Source organism: Homo sapiens, chromosome 1 (genome assembly GCF_000001405.40).
Source record: "Homo sapiens chromosome 1, GRCh38.p14 Primary Assembly".
In the NCBI taxonomy this organism is placed as follows: Eukaryota; Metazoa; Chordata; class Mammalia; order Primates; family Hominidae; genus Homo; species Homo sapiens.
Window position 1 is genome coordinate 20352262 of NC_000001.11, and position 23144 is coordinate 20375405.

At 51.4% G+C, this 23144-nt stretch overlaps 1 protein-coding gene and 1 long non-coding RNA gene across 13 annotated transcripts in view, besides 2 other annotated features; one reads left to right on the plus strand and one right to left on the minus strand.

The window, feature by feature from the left end:
* Positions 1-7257, plus strand: part of VWA5B1 (von Willebrand factor A domain containing 5B1) — a 68644-nt gene extending 61387 nt beyond the window's left edge. For all 12 annotated transcript variants that reach the window (NM_001039500.3, NM_001377531.1, XM_011540684.3 and 9 more), the window contains one exon: positions 1496-7257. In NM_001039500.3, the coding sequence (NP_001034589.2) occupies positions 1496-2002 (507 nt within the window). In that variant the 3' untranslated portion in view covers positions 2003-7257. The remainder of the gene's footprint in view (positions 1-1495) is intronic.
* Positions 1276-1776: an enhancer, noted in NCBI's record as "H3K4me1 hESC enhancer chr1:20680030-20680530 (GRCh37/hg19 assembly coordinates)". NCBI's record gives its function as "activates a minimal SCP1, AML or CMV promoter by ChIP-STARR-seq in naive H9 embryonic stem cells {active_cell/tissue: H9 hESC(naive)}" and the evidence as "EXISTENCE:reporter gene assay evidence [ECO:0000049][PMID:30033119]".
* Positions 1777-2277: an enhancer, noted in NCBI's record as "H3K4me1 hESC enhancer chr1:20680531-20681031 (GRCh37/hg19 assembly coordinates)". NCBI's record gives its function as "activates a minimal SCP1, AML or CMV promoter by ChIP-STARR-seq in naive H9 embryonic stem cells {active_cell/tissue: H9 hESC(naive)}" and the evidence as "EXISTENCE:reporter gene assay evidence [ECO:0000049][PMID:30033119]".
* A 282-nt stretch (positions 7258-7539) lies between the features above and the next one.
* The window catches only part of LINC01141 (long intergenic non-protein coding RNA 1141), a 68994-nt gene continuing 53389 nt past the window's right edge, over positions 7540-23144 (minus strand). Inside the window, exons 10-12 of the long non-coding RNA NR_033887.1 lie at positions 21334-21477; positions 9883-10133; positions 7540-9780 (exon numbers count right to left, since the gene is read on the minus strand). This is a non-coding gene — a long non-coding RNA (long intergenic non-protein coding RNA 1141). The remainder of the gene's footprint in view (positions 9781-9882; positions 10134-21333; positions 21478-23144) is intronic.

The following is a 23144-nucleotide window of genomic DNA, read 5'->3' on the forward strand; positions in this document are numbered from 1 at the left end:
CTCAAAGAGAAGAAGGCTTTGGTCTTAGAGCTCAGATCCCCTGAGTTTTGAGGTTTCCTAGAGCTTCCCACCCAAGTAGTTAGCAGGGCAGAGGGAGTTTGCATGAATCTCCCCTGCCCAGAGGCCTAGGGATATTGCTAGAAGCCAGCACCAGCATCACGAAAATTCTTTGCAATCTGCTATCTTTGCCTTAAAAATTCGTGGGAATTTTGCATTCTACTCCACGCATCTATGTGTATCTGTTTTTCAGTACATAAAAATAAGCTTTGAAATGACTCACAAGTGAGTAAAATTAACATCCCAGGGACATGGACTGTGTTTAGCAACTGGGTCTGCAGACACCTCAGCATGCTGTAGCAGGGTGAGAGACTCAGGTCTGGAGTGGGCTTCTCTGAATTAAGGAGCAAGGGAGACTGGCCCTGCCACATCTGGGGCCCCTCAGGGCTTGGGAAACAGAGGATGCTCAAAGGAGGAGCACAGTTTGAGCATCACTGCATACCTCTTCTGTCCCTCCATACCCAAGTGCATAATATTCTGAATTTCCAAATATCCAGGGCAACTGAGCACTAGGCATGTTTTTACTCAACAAGTATTTATTGAGTTAGGCCCAGTGCTAGACCCTGGAGAGACAACATTGAACTAGACAAACATAGTTTCTGCACTTATGGTGCTAAGTATCTAGTAGGATTCAGACAAGGAACCAGGCAATTCTAACCCTTGGGAGTGGCAATGGGAGAGGTCTGGTTTGGTTGGGGAGTACAGGGGGTGGACATCTAGACCAGGCTTGAGATGTGGGGAGCAGACCCAAGCATGACTTCTTGGAGAAGGTCAAGGCTAAGCCAAGACTTGCAGGATGAGGAGATATGGCCAAAGGCCTCCAGAGGAGAGACAGAGCTTGGCAGCTGGGGAATGGAGTTGGAGAGGGTAAGAGTCAACGATTAGGTGGTGCAGAGCTTTATTGATCATATTTTGGACTTAGTCTATGAGACACTGAAGTCATTGAACTGAGCCTCCAAAAAGTGTGTGATCTATGCCTCTTAGAGATCCCTCTGTATGTAGGACAGATGGATTGGGGGTGGGGAGAGGGGAGGAAAGAGGAGGCAGGAATAACATGAGGAAGCACGTGATGGATTGCAGAGCGATTTAGAAAGTAGACCTGTTGAGACTCGGAAACTGATGGTTACACAGGGAGAAAGAGGAAGGTGAGCTGCTAGAGTTCCCTGCATTGCAGGGGACATTCCCAGTGGCTGAGGTGAGGCCACCCACCTAGGACAAGAGGCAAATATGGAGTGAAGATGTTGACTTCGGCTTGGAGAATGATCTGTTTGAAGTGTCTGCAGGATAAAGGATAGAGATGCTCAATTGACCTGGGTATCCTGAAAATCCCCCAGGCAGGCAGGGTGGGGTGGGCAACATGGATCCAGACTTTTGCATGGCCTATGGCTCCCTGGGCTAAAACATTTGAGGCCCACTGAAGGGCTTCCCCCACACACAGGTGTCTCTGCAGCTGGCCTCCGGAGCCTTCCTGCTCAACGAAGCCTTCTGTGAGGCCACGCACATCCCCATGGAGAAGCTCAAGTGGACGTCCCCCTTCACCTGCCATCGAGTGTCCCTCACCACCCGCCCGTCTGAGTCCAAGACCCCGAGTCCCCAGCTGTGCACCAGCTCCCCGCCTAGGCACCCGTCCTGTGACAGCTTCTCCCTGGAGCCTCTGGCCAAGGGCAAGCTGGGCCTGGAGCCGAGGGCAGTGGTGGAGCACACTGGGAAGCTGTGGGCCACGGTGGTGGGGCTGGCATGGCTGGAGCACAGTTCGGCCTCCTACTTCACTGAGTGGGAGTTGGTGGCTGCCAAGGCCAACTCATGGCTGGAGCAGCAGGAAGTACCCGAGGGCCGCACGCAGGGCACACTCAAGGCCGCTGCCCGCCAGCTGTTTGTGCTTCTGCGGCACTGGGATGAGAATCTCGAGTTCAATATGCTCTGCTATAACCCGAATTATGTGTAGTTGAGTGACGGGGAGGCTGGGTGGAGGGAAGGGTGGGGAGGAGAGGGATGGGCAGGGCCATGTCGGCCTGGTTTCGGGGAGCTTTTGGAGCTGTAACTAATATTTCAGTTACTAGAAAGAGCCCTGGACTGGCAGCCAGGAGGCCTGAGTTCAATCCCAACTTTGCTACCATCCAGCCATGCAACTTTAGGCCAGTGCCTGCCCCCGTCTGGGCCTCAGTTTCCTCATCTATAAAATAAGAGGGCGAGATGAAGGAGGTGGAGTGGATCTCAAATGGTTCAGTGGTTCCTTTCTGCCCATTCAGGCAGTCCCGGGCTGACTGCTGCTGGGGCTGGCGAGGGAAGATGCAGTGGAAGCCTGAGCCCTGTCTGGAGGTAGACCACGTGGGCACGGAGTGGACACAGCAATGCCCACTCAAATAAAAGGGCAGATGAGAGAACCCAGTGACCTCAAGTAACCAGGCCTACAGGCTTGCATAGGCACATAGAGACTAGCAAGTCTGGTGCCTGTAGGACAGGCTCTTGTCTCCATGGTAACAGCCAAGGACCCCCCCTAAATCCCACTTAAAAGCCAATTGGAGAAGCATCCTTCTCAACGCTTTACAAAAGAGTAGTTTGGGGGCCTTTTGTTTTGGCTAGGAAGCTTCCTTAATACATACTAGTATTGCCTTGCAGATCATTAGTGGCTCCCTCACTAAGAAGAGGTGGTGGCAGGACCAGGGGAGACACCTTGTGAGTTGACGTGTTAGATTTAAGCAGCAGTCTGTGCAAAAATAGTCCTAAAAGAACAGACATGGTCACAGAAGTCAATGAAGACACCAGACAACACCTTACTTAATTTTCCCACTTTTAGGAATTGGGTAAAGCGAACTGCATCACTTGTACTGAGGCACGAGGGAGCCACCACCAAGTAGGTCGCACCATGGGATCAGGGGGTCCTCTGGAGCCATGCCACGCTGTGGGAGAGAGGCTTGGCTGCAGTGCCTTTGGGGATGGCAGCTCTGGCCAGGGGAGGCCTGATTTGTTTGGTGAAATGAATGAATTGACACTTCAGGCTGGATCCCCTAGGGGCTTCCTGCCCTCAAGCCCACTGTGTGATGCCTACATGGGGAATGGCGTGCTGTGGCCGCAGATACCCTAATGGCTGGCATAGAGCTGCCCAGTCTCCTCTTCCCCACTGACTCCCCTGGAGGTGGGTCTAGACCTCACCAAGGAACCCCACCAGCTTGGGACTTCAGGCTGAATCTATCCACCCTCGAAGCCCCCTCCTTCAAGGCCTTAATCTCTCCTCATCAAATTCCTGTCCCAACCTTGGAGTGAAGCTCCACAGACTTCCCTCGTGGGAAGGCCTTGGAAGCTTAGCTTATCAAACCAACTCGTGGGGTCCTGCGGGCTCTGGCGCAAGCCCCGGCCTCAGGAAGACTCGAGGGGTGTGCAGCCTCCAGCAGGGGCTGGAGTCAGGGAGGAGGCTCCAGCAGAACGCCCACTGGGCACAAGGGGAGAAAAAGCAGCCCCAACATGATATGGTGCCCTGCCCCCCACCCCCACCCCTCCATCTATGCCACAAGTCTCCCGCGAGGGATTCTCACAGCCCTTTTGAATACTTAAGATGAAATCCCATTGCTGCCTTGTGGACTGGCTCTGCTTCAGACTTACCCTCTGGGGAGGAACCCAGGCAGGCAGGCCTGGACACTGTGGCCATCACAACCCCAGGTGGGGCAGGATGCCAATCTGGGGTGTTGGCTCAAAGTCAGTGCCACCAAGGCGGGTAAGAGCTTTGGGTTGTCTTGCTCCAGGCTTCCAGGAGATGTGAGCGGAGCTTTGTCATCTCCCTGCACACTCCCCATCCCCTGCCAAAATCACTTCTTTAGCTATGCAGGCAGCAGCCTCAGCTTCAGGGTAAGGGTGGCCGGGGGTGGCATCTACTTCCTGGACCACAAGTAATGGAAAAAAAATGCCAGGTTTTGAGTCAGAACACCCAGACTCAGGTCTCAGCCTAGTACTAGTTTGGGCAAGTGGTTTCTCCTCCTAGGTGCCCTGGAGCTGGGGCTTTCTCCTGCTCTGACAGTCCCAGACTCTCTGCCTCTGAGATGTTTCCCTCTTCATGAACATGAATTTGCTTGAGTTCTCTGTGTGACCTTGAACAAGTGGCGTGTGTGTTCTGGGCCTCTTTCTTCCTCTACATAACCAGGCTGAACTGGGCTGTCCAGCACCTCCCTGCCCCACCAGATGAGTCTGATTCTGGGTCTCCAGGCCTCAGCCTGGACAATGGCCAGGGCTTGAGGTGAACCGGTCTCTGCCAGCATAGAACTAGTGCTACAAGATGCCTAGCAGGAGCAACCAAGAAATCCAGCAAGGTGGTGGGCATGCCACCCACTTCTCTAGGAAAGTTCCTCAGACTGCTCCCGCACCGGCCACTGGAGCTCTGCAACATGTTTGAGGCCCAAGAAAACTGCTGATCTCTGCAACCCTGGCTCCCCTGCCCAGCCCCAAAGGTGCAGAAGAACAAATCTTCATTGGTTGCAAATAACCCAAGAGCTATGGGGGCAGGTCTGGACAAGAGACATTTTTAAAGAACTTCAGTGGTATTGAGATGACATGCAGCCTCAAAAACGTGCTACCGGGACTGCTAGGCAGAGGACCTAGGGGACTCGCTTTAAGGAAAAGATAAGAACCTTTGGTAATTAGTACATACATTGAAGCTAACAGAGTTCTAAAGTTTCTCAAGCAGGGAACACATTGCCCCTGCAATCTCATTTACTTTGGGTTAATCTGGTTTAACTTGCTAAACCAGCCCTTGCTTTCTAGGTCATACAAAGGAATATTTATGCCCTGCACTGTCTGAAGAAAGGGCTAATGCCACCGTAAGACAAAGCCCAGCCTCCAAGCTGCCTTCAGTGGGAAAAACACTGAGCTGAGAGTTGAGGAACCCAAGCATGGGTCCCAACTCCACCACTAGTGTGCTGTGTGACTTCTGGCAAATTACTTGCTTTCTCTGAACCCCTGTTTCATCTTTTGTGGAATGACGGGGGTTCACAAGATCAGCATTTCCAACCCTGTTCCTCACTTAGATGAGACGTGAATAAGCAACCTATGAGAAACTGTGCTATGGGCAAAGATGTTGAGGAAGCAGTAGAAAGACAAACTTCTTTAGATTAGGACAACCTGACCCGTTAATATGTTACTGTGCGTTGTCAGGCTCCGAGCAGGTGACCCAGCAGCAGCTCTTCTCTGGTTACTAGGTCGCAAAATGCTGGTCTAGATCTCTCTTAGGGCTCCTGCGGCACTGGCGTTCAGAAAGCCTTTACTGGGTGCCTACTGTATGCCAGGCATGGCATACTGGGGTACCACAGTGAACATACGAGGTGCTGTCCCTGTCCTTTTTGGAGCTTGGCAAGGAGCATTTGAAGAGTCTCTGTTTCATGAATCATTTTCCCACTCCTTGGTTCTCTAGGTGGGTTTGTCTTCACTGGCCCTAGAATGGTCCTGCCATCTGTGGGTGTGGCCTCGTATTAGCACTACCTAGGTACCCTTTGCGCTAACGGCCAGCCCCCTGAGCTTTCAGGCTCTCATTTATGGTATGGGTACAGATGACCACAATAGCTCATGGTATTGCACAGCCAGAGGGGAGTTGGTGCTGGGGGCCTCCTTGTCCAGGTGGAGCAGGAATGTCCCTGCAACAGAGTGCCCCGAGGGCCCAACCTCCCACCACATGCAGATGCAGAACCCTGTCTCAGGCCCCTCAGCTCGAGACCAACTCCAGATGCCAGGATAACTGGGCCCCATCCTTTGGCAGACTTACACTGGACTTGTCCATAAGCGGCCTCGGTTTCCAGCCGGCACCCATGTTTCCCCAGCCAGTCCCTTCTCTGCGGGCAAAATGAATGGCATCCCCTAGCCTTCACTGACCTGAGCTGCCACTCACTGCCACTTGCTGTGGCTGATGAATAGACTAGCTGCTTCCAAGACTCGATTCTGGTGGGCTTTCACCTGCTCTTCAGAGACATGAAAAGCAAGGGTTCCTCCTTCTCCCTTCCAGCTGGTTCACCAGGAACAGCTGTCAAAAAAGGTTTCTGGAAGTTTCCTCTAGATCCTGACTTGCCCTCTGTTAATCCCTACCCTTATTTGAGGGCCATGCTACTGTTCCCCTTCTCTCTTCCTTGGCAGGGACTCCCCATGAGAGGGAAGGAGGAAAGGGGGTCTCCCCTATCTGTGTACAGTCTGCCCCCCCACCCTGCAATTGCCTGCCCCATTGACCTGCCTGGCTGGATCCTGTGTGACACCCCAGCACCTATCATTCAGGGGTCCAAATGCCCAAATGCACATCTCTCTATGTGCCCATTATAACATCTCTAAGTGGTCTCTAGAATCAAATGCACTCCATACTTTTAGTGCCCTGGGAAAGGAGAGGGAAGGGTACTGCCGCCCCATGAATGGGGCATGTGCTCATTGCCTTGGCATCTGGAAGATTTTGTTCTTACCAATCTAGCAGAGACTAGAGAAGTCAACAGAAAAAAGATGGACACATTCTTCAGCTGTAACATAGCATGCTCTGCAAAGCCAGTGTAAAAATAACCAGGGCAGGGGTGTGTGTGGCATTTTGCAGCTGGGTAATCTGATCCGCAGAGATCTGTCCAAGGTCAGGGGCTTGGCAGCAGCTCCTGGCCACGCCTACAGCTCCCAACCGTGGACCTCTCTGCCCTGTGTGTCCAGCCCTGCTCCCAGCCCGTTGACTTTAGCCTCTCAACAGCACTGCCTCCCCGGGTTACCCGATGAGGTGGGATTTTTCTCCTGTTCATGCTGCAAATCTCCTTGGCTCAGGGCCAGCCGTTTTGAGCTTACAGCCACGTCCCAACGCAATGCGCCTCATCTCAATGCCGCTGACTGTGGTGACACATGTGGTATAGTTTCACTATCTGCCCAGGTGGCTTTGGCTCAAGTGGCATGGCTGGTGCTTGTCCCCATCAGAGCCTCAAGTGCCTATGGCATGCTACCCGTGCCCTTGCCTGCTCATCTGTAATGTCCCCATAGTGCCTATGACACTTTCTTCTTCTTGGGATATGCATCACCTGCTTGCCTGGTAGCCAATTACATAGATGTCATGGAAGCCCTGGATGTCAGCCGTCTAATGTCCACTAATACTCAGCAAATCCTACCATGGGGCTGTGTGTGTGTCTGTTCTCAAAGAAATGGCTTCTTTGTACATGGTGGCTACCATTATCTAGGCTTTGAGCTGATAAAAATTGTTGAACCTGATCATATGACAAAGTTATACTTGTGTCTGATCTTTTATTCTCAAAGCCAAGGATACCTGGCTTTCAGACTAGCAGTTCGGCGATCTGTTTGCCTCACTTCATGTGTCACATCTGTCTTCGTTCGGGTTCCCCATAAGGTGACTAATTGTCGTGGTGTGCCGGGGACTGAGGAAGGTTACCAGGATGTGAGACTTTCAGTTTTAAAACTGGCACAGTTCCAGTCAACCTGGAACAAGTTGGTCACAGCAGTTCCTTCAAAAGCAAAGCCTGAGACAAGGATTCAGTGCAAATAGTTTATTTGGGTGATTCCAGAAAATACCCTTAAGGAAATGTGGAAGTGAAATAGGAACGCAAAGAACACCAGTAAAGGGAAGGTTACCAAGGAGATTACTGCTACAGGTGTGGACCCTCGCCCCACTGGTAACTCTGGGAGTCAGAGTAGATGCACACCCCAAAGCTCACAGTGAAGGAACGGGGTGCGTGTACACCAGCTCCACTCAGCCCTTGGGGAAGGCCACTCTGGAGGATTCATTCCTTGGTGCTTCTGGTCTAGCACAGGTGCACCAGCTGAGCAGGCTCCTGCAGCCCGCGAGAAAGCTGCCAGGCAAAGAAAGGTAGGCACTCGTGCTAATAAAAGGAGAACATGATGCAGTGTCTACCATGCGTTTCCTTCAACCCTGGCACCTCCCCTGCACAAATGATTGAGACATGCGTACAGTATCTTTGCAGATTTTAAAGTTCCAGATATGCTATCTACTATTCCAAGACCTCTGTAATAATAAATGACCAGGATGTATCATTATTGAATAGAGAAAGCCTAAATTACAAAGGGTAACCCACATTTTTTTTAGTACATTTGGTTTGAAATTAGCAAGATGAACCATGAAACTGATTTTTTTGGCTTTTTTAAAAAGAAAGAGATGCAGGTGCTGGCAGATGGGAGTCAGGCCCAAGTGCACTGACCTGAAACACGCCAAGGGGCTGCAGCAAGGCACTGACGGCACCTGCAGCAGTGTCTCTCCTGAGCTGCTTGCCACATTTCAGATTTCTCCCGGAGGCAATTCGTGATCACAAAATATATTTATTTGAAAATCATTACCAGCCACCATCTTGTCTTGGAACCCACACAGACTGACCCCAAAATCAAACATAAGGCTCATTTAGAAATCCTTCAGCAACTTGCCTTGTTTCCTCAAAATCAATCATCCCTTTTCAGATTTGAGGGAGGACAATGGACTATAATAGGAATTCCCAATAAGCCAGAAACATTGCAGCGATGTGCTAAGGGCTCCTAATGGGAAAAATTGGAGGAGCCCCCAGGCTGAAGCTGACATGGTAAACAGAAACCCTGTTCACATGCATGGCCCTCCTAGGTGATGTTCAGCTGGATAATGGACTGTCACTGTGATAGACAAGCCCTCTCCCTGGCCCTCACCATGGCTCTAGGCTGCTGGGGGGACCTGACGTCCCCTTTGTAGTACCTCACTGACTTCTATGAGCCTGGCACTGCCTCTCCCTTTGTAAGACACGTGCTTCTTTGTTCTTTTCCTCCACTGTGCATCCTGTAAAGGCCAGTTTTGTGTGTGTGTGTGTGTGTGTGTGTGTGTGTGTGTGTGTGTGTGTCTGTGTGTGTGTCCTGCTGGGATGGCAATTAGGATGTCCTAGTCCCTCACGGGTGAAGAACACATTGAGGAAAGCAGGTTCTCGGGGCTCCTGGGTTAAAGAACTCTGTAGGAGACGAAGTCAGCCCGACAGTTCAGGATTCTGGGTCTCCTGGGTCCTCCGTCCCACAGTACCCCACTCCCTCCAAGGCACTGCTTGCCCCCCGCCCCGGGAAACCTGAGCTCCGCTGGGCTCAATTAATCCGTATCCTGGTCTGAAACGGAGAGAAAATGCCAAGTCGAGTCCAGCCTAGCTCTGCCAAGCTCTGTTGTTCTGCCATCAAGCAGCAGTTGCCCTCATTTCCATCTGAGCATCACCTAGAATCTCCCAATTATGAATTCATCCTAGAAGCATCCAGACCACCCACGCACCAAGTCCAGCAACCCCAGATCCAGGGCCTGGGAGAAGGAAGGCGGCACACGTCCTCTATGATAAGTGAGACAAGGGTAGTCTGGGAAGGCATCTGCTGGGAGGGGTTCCTCTCCTAGCCTGGGGGAAGGAGGGGCCCTGGATACCCAGGATGGTGGCCATGCCAAGTTCCTGAGCCCTCAGTAAGATCTCGGTGAAAGTTGTTTAAAACGGCTTCCTCAGCCATCCCGAACTGAACTAACCACCCCCTACGCTACTCCCAAGCTCCAAGATCCTCCAGGTTGCACATATGGGTCCTCTCGGGTGCTGACCCAGGCTCCATCTACCCTTCATTCCTGGCTTCAGAATCTGGGGTTTCCCATGGGTAGGAAACCAGGGATCCTTTGCAGGAATTGCCTTCGCCCTCCAAGCCTGCTGTTCTGATACCGTTCAGCAGAGGGCGCTGTGGGCGTGCACTGCCTTCCAGGCCCGGACCAGCTCCTGCCAAAGGCATCTGTGGAAAGAGGAGTGGCAGGGATGAAGGGAGGCTTCAGAAGCTATTCCTGTCCCCTGTCAACAGTCTTTCTTCTCTGCTAAAAATGTGACACTAGCTCACCTGGGGCTGGAAAGGAGAAGGTGACCTCTTGGTCCTTCCCTGCTTGGCCCACTCCTCCTCCTCCAAACTCCATGGGAAGCCACTCTCAGGAACACTTCCCAGAGCTTCTCTCAGCAGCAGCCTCACAGGGGACACTCTTATTACACGTATGTGTGTCCTGTCTCCCCCATCGGATTGGGAGCTCCAATCATGCTTGGAAGTCTCCTCCAGGGCAGGATGCTGTTAGGTGAAAGGCACTTAGAAGAGACCTCCTGACAAAGCAACACAGGGTAGAGACCAGATTCTCAGGATTCCCCAGACAAGCCATTCAAGTCCTTGCATGTTCACTCTGCCTATGAGGGACATTTCCCAGGGACACACTCCACTCCTGTCATCCTTCAAAGTTCAATGCAGAGCTCATCTCCTCCAGGAAGTCTTCCCTGACTGGCACCCCCAAGGCAGACTGGACCTCTCCAACCTCTGCTCCCACAACCCTTTGTGCGTACTCTAGGTAATGCCTGCTACGAGCACTTCTCAATGACATTTCAGGGCTGTGTGGCCATGTGTCTCTCCCATCAAACTATGAGCAACTTGAGAGAAGAGACCTGGCCTCAGTCATCTCTAGGCCCTCTGCAAGGTCTGGAACATCCTAGCTGCTCAGTAAATGTATGCTCAAGTGCAAGGTTAAAGTCTGACCCAATCATTCCATCTTTAGTGAAAATCATCAAAAGTTACAATTAGAGAGTCTTAAATGTCAGACAGGAGTCCGAGGTCTTTCCATTGATTCATCTCATTTGCTCCTCACAACTCTACAGATTACCATGTTGGTGTTATGAATTAAGGACACTGAAGTTCAGATTTATTAATTAATTTTATTTTTAATTAGATAAATAAAATTACCTATAATTTTATTTAATATAATAAATAAAAATACAATAAAATAAATAAAAAATAAAATAAAATAATAAAAATAATAAAAATAGATTTTATTATTAATTTACCCAAGGTCACCCAGCTAGAAACCAGTGGGGCAGGATTCAAACCCAGGTCTGCCCCACTCTGCAGTCAAGTCCCTTAAAGGCATTTATGCGTTCATTCATTCATTCCATCTGTGAATTCACTACACAGCTACTGAGTGCCAGGTGCTACCAGGCTAGGCTAACACAGCCAAGTAGGGGGAAGACGGGAGAATTTGTTACTGAGCTGTTCATTTTCTCCCAAGTTAATGGAAGAACTGCTCTTCCCTGCTCAACTGCTGGGACTGCAAGTTCCCTCTCCTCTCTCTCCTCTTGCTCGCCAAGTCTCTCTCGCCACACCATCTCCAGAAGGCAAATGAAGCCCAGCTCTTCCTGTCCCTCCCCAAGGAGGCAGCTGGGAACCAGGAGGCTCAAGACACAGAAGGAAAATCAATGACACATCTTCCTGCCTTTCCCCAGCTCATCACACACTGCTCATTGGGCCAGCAGGAAAAGCAGCAGACGGGCTCCGGCTTGGGGGACCCAGGTTCCAGCTGCTCCTACTGTGAGCAGTCCCAAGATGTCAGACCTGGAAAGGGTGCTTAGAAACCTCCAAACACTCACCCCCACCCCCATTTTATGGATGGAGATACTGAGGCCCTGGGAGGGATAGGCCCTGGGCCAGAATCACTCAGGTCCCGAAACACCTGCCTTCACTGGGCCTGAAACTCTCACATTAGAGCTACTCTAGGGTAATGCTATGGTTTGAGTATCTGTCCCCTTTGAAACACATGTTGAAATTTAATCCCCAATGTGGTAGTATTCAGGGGTAAGGCCTTGAGGAGGTGATTGGATCATGAGCGCTCTGCTTTCATGAATGGATTAATCCATTAAGGGGTTATCATAGAAGGGGAACTAGTGAGTTTATAAGAGGAGGAAGAGGGCCAGCTGCAGTGGCTCACGCCTGTAATCCCAACACTTTGGGAGGCCAAGGCAGGTGGATCACCTGAGGTCAGGAGTTCGAGACCAGCCTGGTCAACATGGTGAAATCCCATCTCTACTAAAAATACAAGAAATTAACCAGGCATGGTGACAGACACCTGTAATCCCAGCTACTTGGGAGGCTGAGGCAGGAGAATCACTTAAACTGGGGAGGCGGAGGTTACAGTGAGCCAAGATCATGCCACTACGGTCCAACCTGGGCAACAAGAGCAAAACTCCATCTAAAAAAAAAAATAATAAAGGACAAGACCTGAGCTAGCACATTTGCCATCTGCACACTCGGCCTCCTCACCATGTGATGCCCTGTACCACCTTAGGACACCAGAGTCCCCACCAGCAAGAAGGCTCTCCCCAGATGTACCCCCTTGACCTTGGATTTCCCAGCCTCCATAACTGTAAGAAGTACATTCCTTTTCTTTATAAATTACCTAGCTTCAGTTATTCTGTTATAAGCAACAGAAAATAGACTAATACAGGTAACGTATTCATAAGAGCCACCGTGAAAACGTATGTGTTACACGTAGAGGTGAGGGCTAGAGATAAGTGACGGCAGAGGGGCCATGCACATAACCTAGATACTTAGGATGGTGGAGATGGGGCCCTAGAGCAGCAGGGAACCCTAGATGGAAGGGTAGCAAGATCCGGAAACGGGCTGGAAGAACAGGTGGGGCCCAAAGAAGACAAATCCTGCTGCTCTCCCCAGTTGGTAGTAAAACCCAGATCCCTGGATGCTGCAATAAGATGGGGGGAGGGGCTGTCCACAGCTCCTAATAATCATTCAGCAAAGGCACAGCTCACTACAGGTGCACAGACTATGTGCCCCTAGGCAAGTGCCTTCACCTCTCTGGGCCTCAGTTTCCCTGTCTGTTAAAAGAGGGAGGTGAACTGGATAACTCCTAAGGTTCCCTCCATCTCTGAGGCTGTACATTAAATATCTTGCTTCCAGACCTGAGAGCATTCAAGGATGACAGGGTGAAGGAGACTGCCTCCATCCCGCCCTTGCTTGCTGTGAGGTTGTGTCTGCTTTCCTGGAGGCACGGACTCTTCTTCAGGCCAAAAAGCCCAGCTTTCAGGTGGCACAGTCCAGCATGGGTGCACCTGGTCCAGGGATGGAGAAACGGGCTCAAGGAACCCAAACAGCCACCTTGAGCCTCCAGTAACCACCAACCAGGCAGAACACCCGGATTCAGTGTCAGAAGGCCCCACAGCCACCAGGACAACATCCCTCCAGGCTTAGGGACAGGAAGAAATTACAACCACCATCAATCAGAGGTTTGGCCTCGGGTAGCGAAACATGCATGAGCTTCTGGGCTGACCTCCCTGGCCAGCCATCATCTGCCTCTCACTAGCTGGGCAAGTGACTTTACCTCTCAGTGCCTTCGTTTGCCCATCCGGAAAATCCCCATACTACCTCACTTACGTTCACACAAAGAAATGTGCTTGGCCCAGTGTGGCTCAGCAGAGGGTCCCAGGAGGTCCCTGCACAGCTGGCTTTGAATCCGACTTTATTGTGTGGGATGGGAGGGGCAGGGCACAGTTCCCTGGATTTTATTAAGCTGTGATTCCCAGCCCAGAGAACTTTCAGGATGACACCAGCAAGGCCTAGGAGTTGGCAGACAGTACCCACAGTACCAGTAATAAAATTAAACGAATCAGTGTTCTCAAGTTAGCCGCTCTCCTAATCACAACGGCTGCCTAGAGTGGGGCAGTGCTAATGCATGGGGCATGGGTGGTCCCGGCAACAGGGGTGAGGGGTGAGGGCCTCCACCAGGCAGGAGGCAGAAGCCAGCGTGGCAGGATCCCGCTCCCTTCTGGGTCTTTCCAGCCTACAGCTGGCTTCTGGCTTTGCTGGGCTATATTTTATGTCCCTCTTCATCTGCTTCTCTGTCCCAATAGGTCGCCCACCCCTGGCTTTGTCCCATCTCTCCACGCTCCTCCAGGGTCTCTCAGTCTGTTTTCCCCCTCCCCTCACCCCTCCTTCCTCCAACGAGCACCCTCCCCAACCCCTGCGCGCGCGCTCCTCCAAACCCCGCAAAGCCGCAGCTGTCCTTAACCCACAATCCTGCCAATTAAACCGCTCCCTCCGGCTCTGGCTGCGGCTGCTGACGTCGGAAGATCCAGGCGAGGCGAGGCCGCCGCCTACGCGGGTGGGGTTGGGAGAGGCGACGGCCCCCTCCTCGGGCCCCGCGGCCGTCGGTCAGTCAGCCGGCGGCAACACGAGCCCGCACTAGACCCAAGCGCCGCCCGTCGGTCCCCACTCCCGACGGGCCTCGCATTCCTGGTCCTCCACCTTCTGCCAAGACCCTGCCCACGCTTCCCGCACCAGCCTTAGGTCCCGAGGTCCCCAACTTTGGCGAAGATCCCGCCTGGGCTCCCCGCATCTTCCCTTGGTCCCAAGGTCCCCAACTTGTCGCCAAGACCCCGCCTGGGCTCCCAGCACCGCCCCTCGCGCTCGGGGTCTCCCGCCCCACGCCAAGTCAGCAAATGCACCCCAGGTTCTGCCTCTCGCGCTGCCGCTCCGCGACCCCCACTCCGAGTTCCCCGCGTCCCAGCATCCCAAGTGCGCTCCCAGCACCCTCCGCGCCCCGACCGCGCACGCCCCGCGGACGCCGCGCCGCGACCCCGCTGGGTCCCCCGCCCTCCCGGCAGCCTCCGCGCGCTCGGTCCTCGGTTTCCCCTCTCCGAGCGTCGCTGGCTCTGTCTCCACGAAGGCGTCGCAGTGGGAACCGGGAGGGGGCACATTAAGAGCAATTAGCCTGCGCACACTTGGCAGCGATACCTTAATAAATAATAGTCTGAAAGTCATGTAAATAAATATTAGAGCGCATTACGCGGGCAGGAGGCGCGGCACGGGGCCCGCGAGCTGGTGGCGAGACACCGCCGCCTCTCGGGATTGGCACGTGCAGGCGGGGGCCCGAGATCCCCGCGCCCCGGCGGCCTGCGACCCGCTGCCAGGGGCCGGGCAGGCAGGGGTGGAGGGAGAGGCCCGGGGAAGGAGCCCCAGGGAGACAGAGAAAGCCACAGAAAGAAATAGGGAGAGGGGAGGGGGAAGAGAGAGAGAGATGGAGGGTGTGAGGATGCAGCAGGGAAGTGGAAGAGGCAGAATTTGGTCCCCTAAGGCTCTGGGAGATTCCTCCCTGCTCCTGGCCAGGCTTCTTTTCCTTGGCCGGGCTCTCCTCCTCTGCCTCTCTGACTGCCCCTTCCCAGTCTCCTTTGCTGGTCTCCCTACATCTCCCCAGTCCCACCGCTGGAGGCGCAGGGCTCAGACCTTGAATCTCGTGGCTCCTAGCCTCATTCATTCACTCGAAGAGCACAGCCCGCCTAGGTGCTTCCCAGTCATCCGCCTGTCAGGGGCTCCCACCTGCAGACCTCCAGCCAGATCGGTCTCCTCTGACCCACAGGCTGACAGCTCCCTTGGACGTTGGACCTCAACTGGCCGGACACTGAACGCCTGCCCTCCCCTCTAGAACCTGTTTCACCCATGCTGTGCCCCAGTTCAGGAAACAGCTCTAGCTTTCTACTTGTGGAGGCCAAAAACCTTCGTGCCATTCTTGAGACCTCTCTCTGACACCTCATATGTAGCCCCTCAGAGAGTCCTGCCATGTCCACCTCGAACATGTTTCCAGATTCCTCCCACTGCCACCTGCTCCGCGCTGCCGCTTAGCCCAAGCCTCCCCACTCTCTCACTGGGACTGCAGCCACAGCTCCTCCTCCCTGGGCTCCTGCCCCCCTTAACCCTCACCATCACTGTGGACAGAGTGGAGGCTATAAAAGTACAAGTCACCGGAGTGGCTGGGACTACAGGCACGTGCCACCACGCCTGGCTAATTTTCTGTGTTTTTAGTAGAGACAAGGTTTCACCATGTTAGCCAGGATGATCTCGATCTCCTGACCTCGTGATCTGACTGCCTCAGCCTCTCAAAGTCCTGGGATAACAGGCGGGAGCCACCGCATCCGGCCAAGGCAGGAGAATCGCTTGAACCCGGGAGGCGGAGGTTGCAGTGAGCTGAGATCCCACCACTGCACTCCAGCCTGGGAGACAGAGCACGACTCTAATTAAAAAAAAAAAAAGAAAGAAAGAAAAGAAAGAGAAAGAAAGAGAGAAAGAAAGAAAAAAGAAAGAGAGAAAGAGAGAGAGAAAAAGAAAGAAAGAAAGAAAGAAAGAAAGAAAGAAAGAAAGAAAGAGAAAGAAAGAAAGAAAGTGTTCACCTCTCTGCTCAAAACTTTGCTTCAGAGGAAAAGCCAAAGTTTTTAAACTGCCCCACCAGGCTCTACCATTTGCCCTCCACCCCCGTCCTGGCAGCTCCGACCTCCTCACCCACCCCTCTCCCCCTCGCTTCTCTGATCCAGCCACCAGGACACCCTCCCTGCTCCTCAAATGCGCCAGACCTGCTCCCACCTTCGGGTTTTGGCCCCGGCTGGCCCCTCTTCCTGGAACATTCCCCAGATGTCATCTAGTTTAGCCCATCTCCTTCCAAGTCTTTGTTCAAATGTCCCATTCTCCCTTTGGCCATCCTATTAAAACTGAATTTCTCCTCCAGCCCAAGAAAACCTCCTCCTTGACATTCCGCTTTCTATTCCTTCATAGAACTCAACCCTTTCTAATACCCTACATCACTTACTGATTTTGTTCATTCTCTCTCTCTCCCAAATAGACAGTAAGCTCCATGAAAGCACGGATTTTTGCAATTTTTTCCCTTCACTGTTGTATCCCCAGTACTAGAAATAGTGCCAGGAACATAAAAGAGATTCAGTAAATATTTGAAAGAAGAAAGAGGGTGGATAGGAGGCTGGAGGGAAGGAAAGGGGAAAGGAGGAGAGAAAGAGAGCCCGGAAGGAGGGAATGGTTTGGGCAAAGGCAGGGCAGCCTGGGCAAGCATCATGGGGAAGGGAGTACTTGGAAGGACCCTGCCTGCTTGGAGCTTGGGGTGGCCCCAGGGCTGGCATTTGTGAGTGACTCCTTCACCAGTTGGTGCCCAGGCTGAAGGGGCACCAGGTTGGGGATCTCAGATGCAGCAGCCCCACCCCAGCCAACACCCCCACCCCCAAACCCATGGCAGGGAGCACCAGCTCCACCTTAGGCCCCAGCTGGGTGTTGGACGCCAGTGCTGAGGGCGGCCCTGCATGGGTAGGCCCCTGGTAACAGCCACAGTAATTACTGGTTGTATGCGATTAGGGGATAATTATGCTTAATAAGTCCAAAAGTAATTACCACGCAGGCTGCTTGCTGCTTTGGAAAACAGGGGCCCCCAGTGAGTGGGAGCCAGATAATTGAGAAGGGGGAGAGTGGGCATTATGGGCATCGGGGTGCTGGGCCATTTCTCTGGCAGATGCCCGAGTCCTCCCTGCCTCACCCCCACCAGGGGCTTGCTCACCTCCAGTGATGAGGAGCTCACTGTTGCGCAGGCAGCTCCTTGCATCATTGGAAGCCTGTGTATACAATTTTGCATACAATTTAGGCTATTGCTATTCCTGACAATAGCATAACCTCTTCACTTTCTTACTAACATCTTAGCATGTGAATAAACACAGACCTAAAGTATCATTCATAAAAGAAGCAAAGTGTATCCTTGTAGGTATCACCATGGATTGTCTTATTGACTCACCACAACACCGACGTAGTGTTTCTCATTAGTGCCACTGCACAGTGAAGAAACCGAGGCTCTTGGGGCCCAAGGTCACAACAGTGGAGGATAGCAGAGTCAAAACTCACATTGCAGTCTGCGTGATGCTGAAATCCATGTTCCTAACTCTTTAGCTATACTGTTACTCCTTGGGGGCCCCACAGAACCAATCCAATCCACTTTTCCAGAAACGAATCCGTGTCTTCTTGAATCTTTCTTTCTTTAGACAGAAGCCAGTGGCTGGACACGTTGCACCCTGCCAAGGAGGCCTTGTGGTGCAATGAAAAGGGTGCCCTGATCCTGCTGCCAACTAACCTTATGGCCTTGGGCAAAGTCGCTTGACCCCTTTGGGCCTCCATCTTCCTGTCTGTGCAAAGGGGGCAGGGGCACCCCAGCTTTGCTCCCTCAGGCCAACCCTAAGACCCAAGCAGCCCCAGGCCCATGCTGGCCAAGGGCCCCCATGCTAGAGGCTGGGGGAAACTCAGGGACCTTTTCCAACCCTGGAATGGTTCCCTTTCTTTCTCACTGTGCTGCTCTTTAGAGTTACGTCGGGAAGAGGCCTGAGAAAGAGCAGCGATCAACACTCTGATCTGGACATACAACCCTGCCCTTCCATGACCTCAAACATCTGCCTTCAACTTCATTGTTAGAACTCAATTTCTACTCCACCAGAGGAGTGGAAGTTTGCAGGACTCCAAGAATATCACAATAAAATGTAAATGCTTTTCTAAAGTTTGCCATCGTCACTTGGGTAGAGATCCATTTGTATGATTGTAATAAGCTACGATGGTTTATAGGATGACACTTTATATCAATTTTCTTACTTGATCTCTACCTCAACCCTGTTGAGGCATGTGTAGTGCTGTCTGTATTTTACACATTAGGCAACTGAGGCCCAGTAACTGGGAAAGAAAAAGAAAAAAGCTTGTCCAGAGTCAGATGGCTAGCAAAAAGCAGAGCCAGGATTTGAACCCAGGTCCAGTTCCAAATCCTGTGCTCATAACCACGACTGTATACTTCCATCTGGCCTAGAGCTACCTGCTGTAGCATCTGGGACATCAGATAAGAGAATGAGACCGGATGCAATGGTAGAATCCACCCTCCTCCCCAGTATTAGAGCCCAGGGGCCTCGTCACGGGCTAATGAAGCTCTCTGGCCCCATCTCGCCGGCATCTTTCTTGGCAGGATGCCCAATGCAACTGTTTCTCCACCAAGGAGGGTTTTCCTGAGGATCCCAGGGGAAAAGAGAAGTGCCTGAAAGAACAAATACCACAGCAGAAGCTTCTCATCTCTGCCTGGAGCAGTGCAACATGGAGACAGAGAACACGCGAACATAATTAAGACCATTCCAGCTCTGTAAACCACAAGACCTGCAGGCCAAAAGAAGGAATGGGGAGGGAATAGCCTCATTTAGCTCCTGTGGACTCCAGAGGACCACAAATGTGGATTCACTAGGAATATGCATCCTAAAGCCCCCAGAGTAGAAAAAAATTGCTACTGCCATAAAAATAATAGAACTGTCAACCGGCCATAAAATCTGCTCCATTAATAGTAAAAATATATCATGGAGTTTTCTTTCCTGCAAGAGTATCAAAATTACAATTTTTTTCAGAAAATCACAAAATAATATCACTGACAAACAATGATCCATGAGAGAGGTGGACCAGGGTTGGGTTACATAAATGCTCCCCAAGGTAGTGGGGTCCCAAATCACCCTCCTCAGGAGATTTTCGAACACATGGAAGGCAGGTGCCCACCCCAGGGGATTCTGATCCAACAGGTGAGATGCGAGACCTTGAAATCACAGAATTAAGTGGAAATCTCCCGTCCATTCCCACAGAAGATTCTGCAGCAGCCCTTCCAGCCAGTGCCGGGGTTGGAGACCACTGCCCAGGTGCCCAGCCATGTTTCAGCACCAGGGACAGGGCACACAAGTCCTCTCTCAAAAGGATTCTACTTGGTCACTCTGCGTATGTGGGGAGCTTTTTTAAAAAAAAATGCCTTAGCTCTTTTACTTTTCTTTTTCTTTTTTTCTTTTTTCTTCTTCTTGTGGGTGGGAAACTGAGGACATCTCGCCTCCTCCCTCTCTCTGATTGGGAGAAAAGCATGTGCTCTGGGGTGAGCACTGCAGCCCAGCTCCCGAAAGGCATGAAAAGCCAACCAGGGAGGGAGCAGATGAGGAGGGACTGTCCTCTAGCAGCAACAACACAAAGACCTCCTGCCTTTATTTGATAATGAGGAAGAGGAGGGAGATGGAAAGGTCTAGGTTTGGAAATCCTGTGTAATAATCTTGAGTCTCACCCTAACTGGCTGTGTGGCCTTGGGCAAGCCTTTTCTCCTCTTGGGGACTGCCCACACACTTCCTGGGCCCTGTGCCTGGGGAGGGTAAAGCTCGCATTTGACCCTACATCTTCCTGATGACTCAGATAATGCTTTCTCGCTCTACCTCACTCAACATGGTCTTCAAACAGTGAATAATCCCAAATCAGCAGTTCTCAAACTGTGATCCACTCAAAAAGTGAGAGTGTCCTCAGAGACAGGTGTTTGGTGCATAAAAGAAGAGATTGGGAGTACTATAGTAAAAATAAGTTTGAGGATTACTAAGGTAAACAGAGTCATACAGGTCTTTTGCTGTAGGACTTCTGGACCCTCTAATGTGCTATTGTGTTATTTTCAAGATGGCAGCCAAGAAGTATTCAGTGTTTTTCAAACTTCCTTTCATGCAATGCTTCTAGGAATCACTAACACTTATAGAGCACTTATTAAGAGCCAGGAATTGTCCTAAGATCTTTCCATTTTAAGGCAATTAATCTTTATAACAACTTATGAAGCAGGTATTATTATTATTACCATTTGCAGAGAGGGAAACTGCAGCACAGAACGACTTAAGCCCTTGCCCAAGGTCACATAACTATCATGCTGCAGAGCAAGGATTTAAACCCAGGCAGATGGGCTTCAGTCTGTGCTTTTAACGGTATCATGGAACCACCTCTCCCAACTTGAAGGCTTGGAGTTTATTAAGTCACAGTTTGGGAAATGCTATTGTACATGCATGTCAACTTAGCCTTGGAAATTTTTAACAATAGATTTTAAAACTTTTTCTTTGATTTTGGCTGATGTTTAGATACCCTGAGCAAATAGTGGCAGGCCCAGATGATGGCTGGGAGGCGGCGGGGGGGCCAGTGTGGTTCGTTTTATTTATTTGTTTGTTTATTTATTTATACTTCAGATTGGCTTTTCTGTATGTGAGGCAAAGAAGCTACATTTCTTTTTATTGATATGCAGTAATTTACATATTTCTGGGGTACATGTGATATTTTGATGCATGCATACAATATGCAGTGATCAGATCAGTGTAACTGGAATGCATTTCTAATGCCCTGGTTGGGGACAAGAGAAAGGAGGGAAGAGGGCATAGCTGTAGGAAGGAGGGAAGAAGAGAAGAGGTAAAAGAGAAGACAAGAGGGACAGAGAAGGAAGAATGAGGGCAAGAGAGGAAGAAGGAAAGGCCCAGAGGCTGAAGAGCGGTGAGAGACTGGGCTAGGGAGAAGGAAAGTAGAGAAAGAGAGACAAGACAAGAGAACAGGAAAAGGGCCGAGGAAAGAGGGAAGTGAAGACCGCCCCAGCCTCAGCTTCAGTACTCTCGGGGCTTCTCTCCTGTCCCCTGTTCTCTGCTCTCCCAGCCAAGAGCAGCTGCAAGGAGAGGAAGTGAGGTGTCCCCTGTCAGGGCAGTGGCTCTGCAGGCTCCTGGGGGGACAGGTTTGGGGGTTGGTCCTGCCTGGGAGCCCAGGACTGTGTCTTGAGGGTCCTTCCCATCGCCTACATCCCATTTTGGCCCCGCCTCCTCTCCAGGCACTTTTCTGTGCTCTTTCCCCAGAACAAATCAGCACCTGTCACCAGCCACCAGGAGCCTCCGCTCTCTTGTTCTCCCTCTGGAACTTCAAAAAGGCTTAACACGGTTTCTCTGCAGCGGTTCCTCCCCTCTTAGGTGGCTCAGTCTGCTCCGGACTCAGCTGTGCCTCTCATCATCCAGTCTTTAAAAAAAAAAAAAAAAAAGTGAAACATGGATTCTGCTTCTCTTTGCACAGGGAACATCAGCACCAAATTGGAGCATTGTTGGTGACAGTCCATGCTCTGGGCCCAGCCTTGGGTCTTCCTTGAGGGCATCAGGGTGATGTCATCGCACTGGCATGAGCTTAGTGGACTCCAGCCCCATTCCGGTCAGCACCCCCATCCCAGCCTCAGAACCCTCATAGCCCAAGCCCTCACTCCTAGCACCTCTAGCAGGAAATTTGGAACCAGTGTTGCCATGGCAACCATGATACCAGCAATTGTTCTTCATTATGCTTGGGGATAGAATTATATGACCTGGAATCAAAACAAAATGCAAGGCATCTAACACAGTGGAGGGAGCCATGAAGCCAGGGAGCCTCCATCTGCTCTTAGCAAAGTTACTCTCAGGCAGATTGAACAAGTTACCTGTCCTTACTGGGACTCAGTCACTGCACCTGTCAAATGGTACAGCTGTGTGCATATGAGGAGGGTTGAATAAGATTATCCCCAAGCTCTCTGAATCTGCGGATGCCTTCAGGAACCCAGTAGCAAGGTGAATGTATGAAGGGCCCCTCAACACACACCCACAGTGCTTATAAGAGGGTAAAGAAACAGTCAGAAGGTCAAAAAGGTATCATTAAAAGTTCTGATGTCGGTGTAACTTAGGCCAGTTAGTCCAAAGGAAGGCAGCCTCCCTCAATGAGCTGGTCTGTCTTAGAAAAAAAGTACCCTTCTTGGGGGTGACTGCCAGGATTCCTTGGTCCTCTTCCACTCGACCCACTCCCCAAAGCAGCCCTCCCTTTGACCCAACCATTCCCCTTCCAGAAATCTCCTGAATGCTCAGGCCTGAAACAGAAAAAGCTTGAACACAAAGAAACACATAGCAGTCTTGCTTATAACAGTGAAACTTTGGAGTCCATCCAAATGTCCAGGTATAGGGGAATGGCTAAGGAAATTAGGGCACGTATCCCCAACCAGAATACTATGACAGCCAGTAAAAATTATACTTGCCAAAAGTTGTATTCTCCAAGGACAATGCTTCTGCTTTAATGTTAAGTAGGAATAACAAGAAGCCACATGGTGCCTGCTGTGGTTTTTTTAAGGGCATAGGGGAAAAAATGCTGGGTTTGGGGTAAATTCTGTTTTCTTCTTTGAACTCTACTTCCCTACATTTCTACAGCTAGCATGTATTATTATATTCTAGAAAAATTAGTAAGCCATTTCTAAAGGGTAGGCCTTGCCAGGAAGGCAACAGGGCTTGGCTGTTCTTGGTTCAGATCAGGACTCTGACATTCTACAGCCATGGGCTTGAGGACTTCTGACCTCTCCAAGCTGTGGTTTCCTCACATGGAGATGACAATGACACCTATGCCAGAAGGCTGCTGTGAGGATGGAATGAAACAAGGCCCCTGGAGCCCCGAGTACATGGTAGAGACCTGGCACATAGTAGGCGCCCAGAAAAAGTGGCTATTGTCTGGGTTCTTAGTGGCTGTCATCTCAGACTGGAGCTGGCTCGGCTCTGGCAGCCTTTCTGAATCTTGGCCTCTGCCTCCCAGCCTGCAGAGTGTTGCCTCTCCTGTGCTCTCTCAGCCCTGTCTCCAGTCCCATCTGGAAAGCCTGCCCGCTCCCCTACCAGCCCAAGCCCATC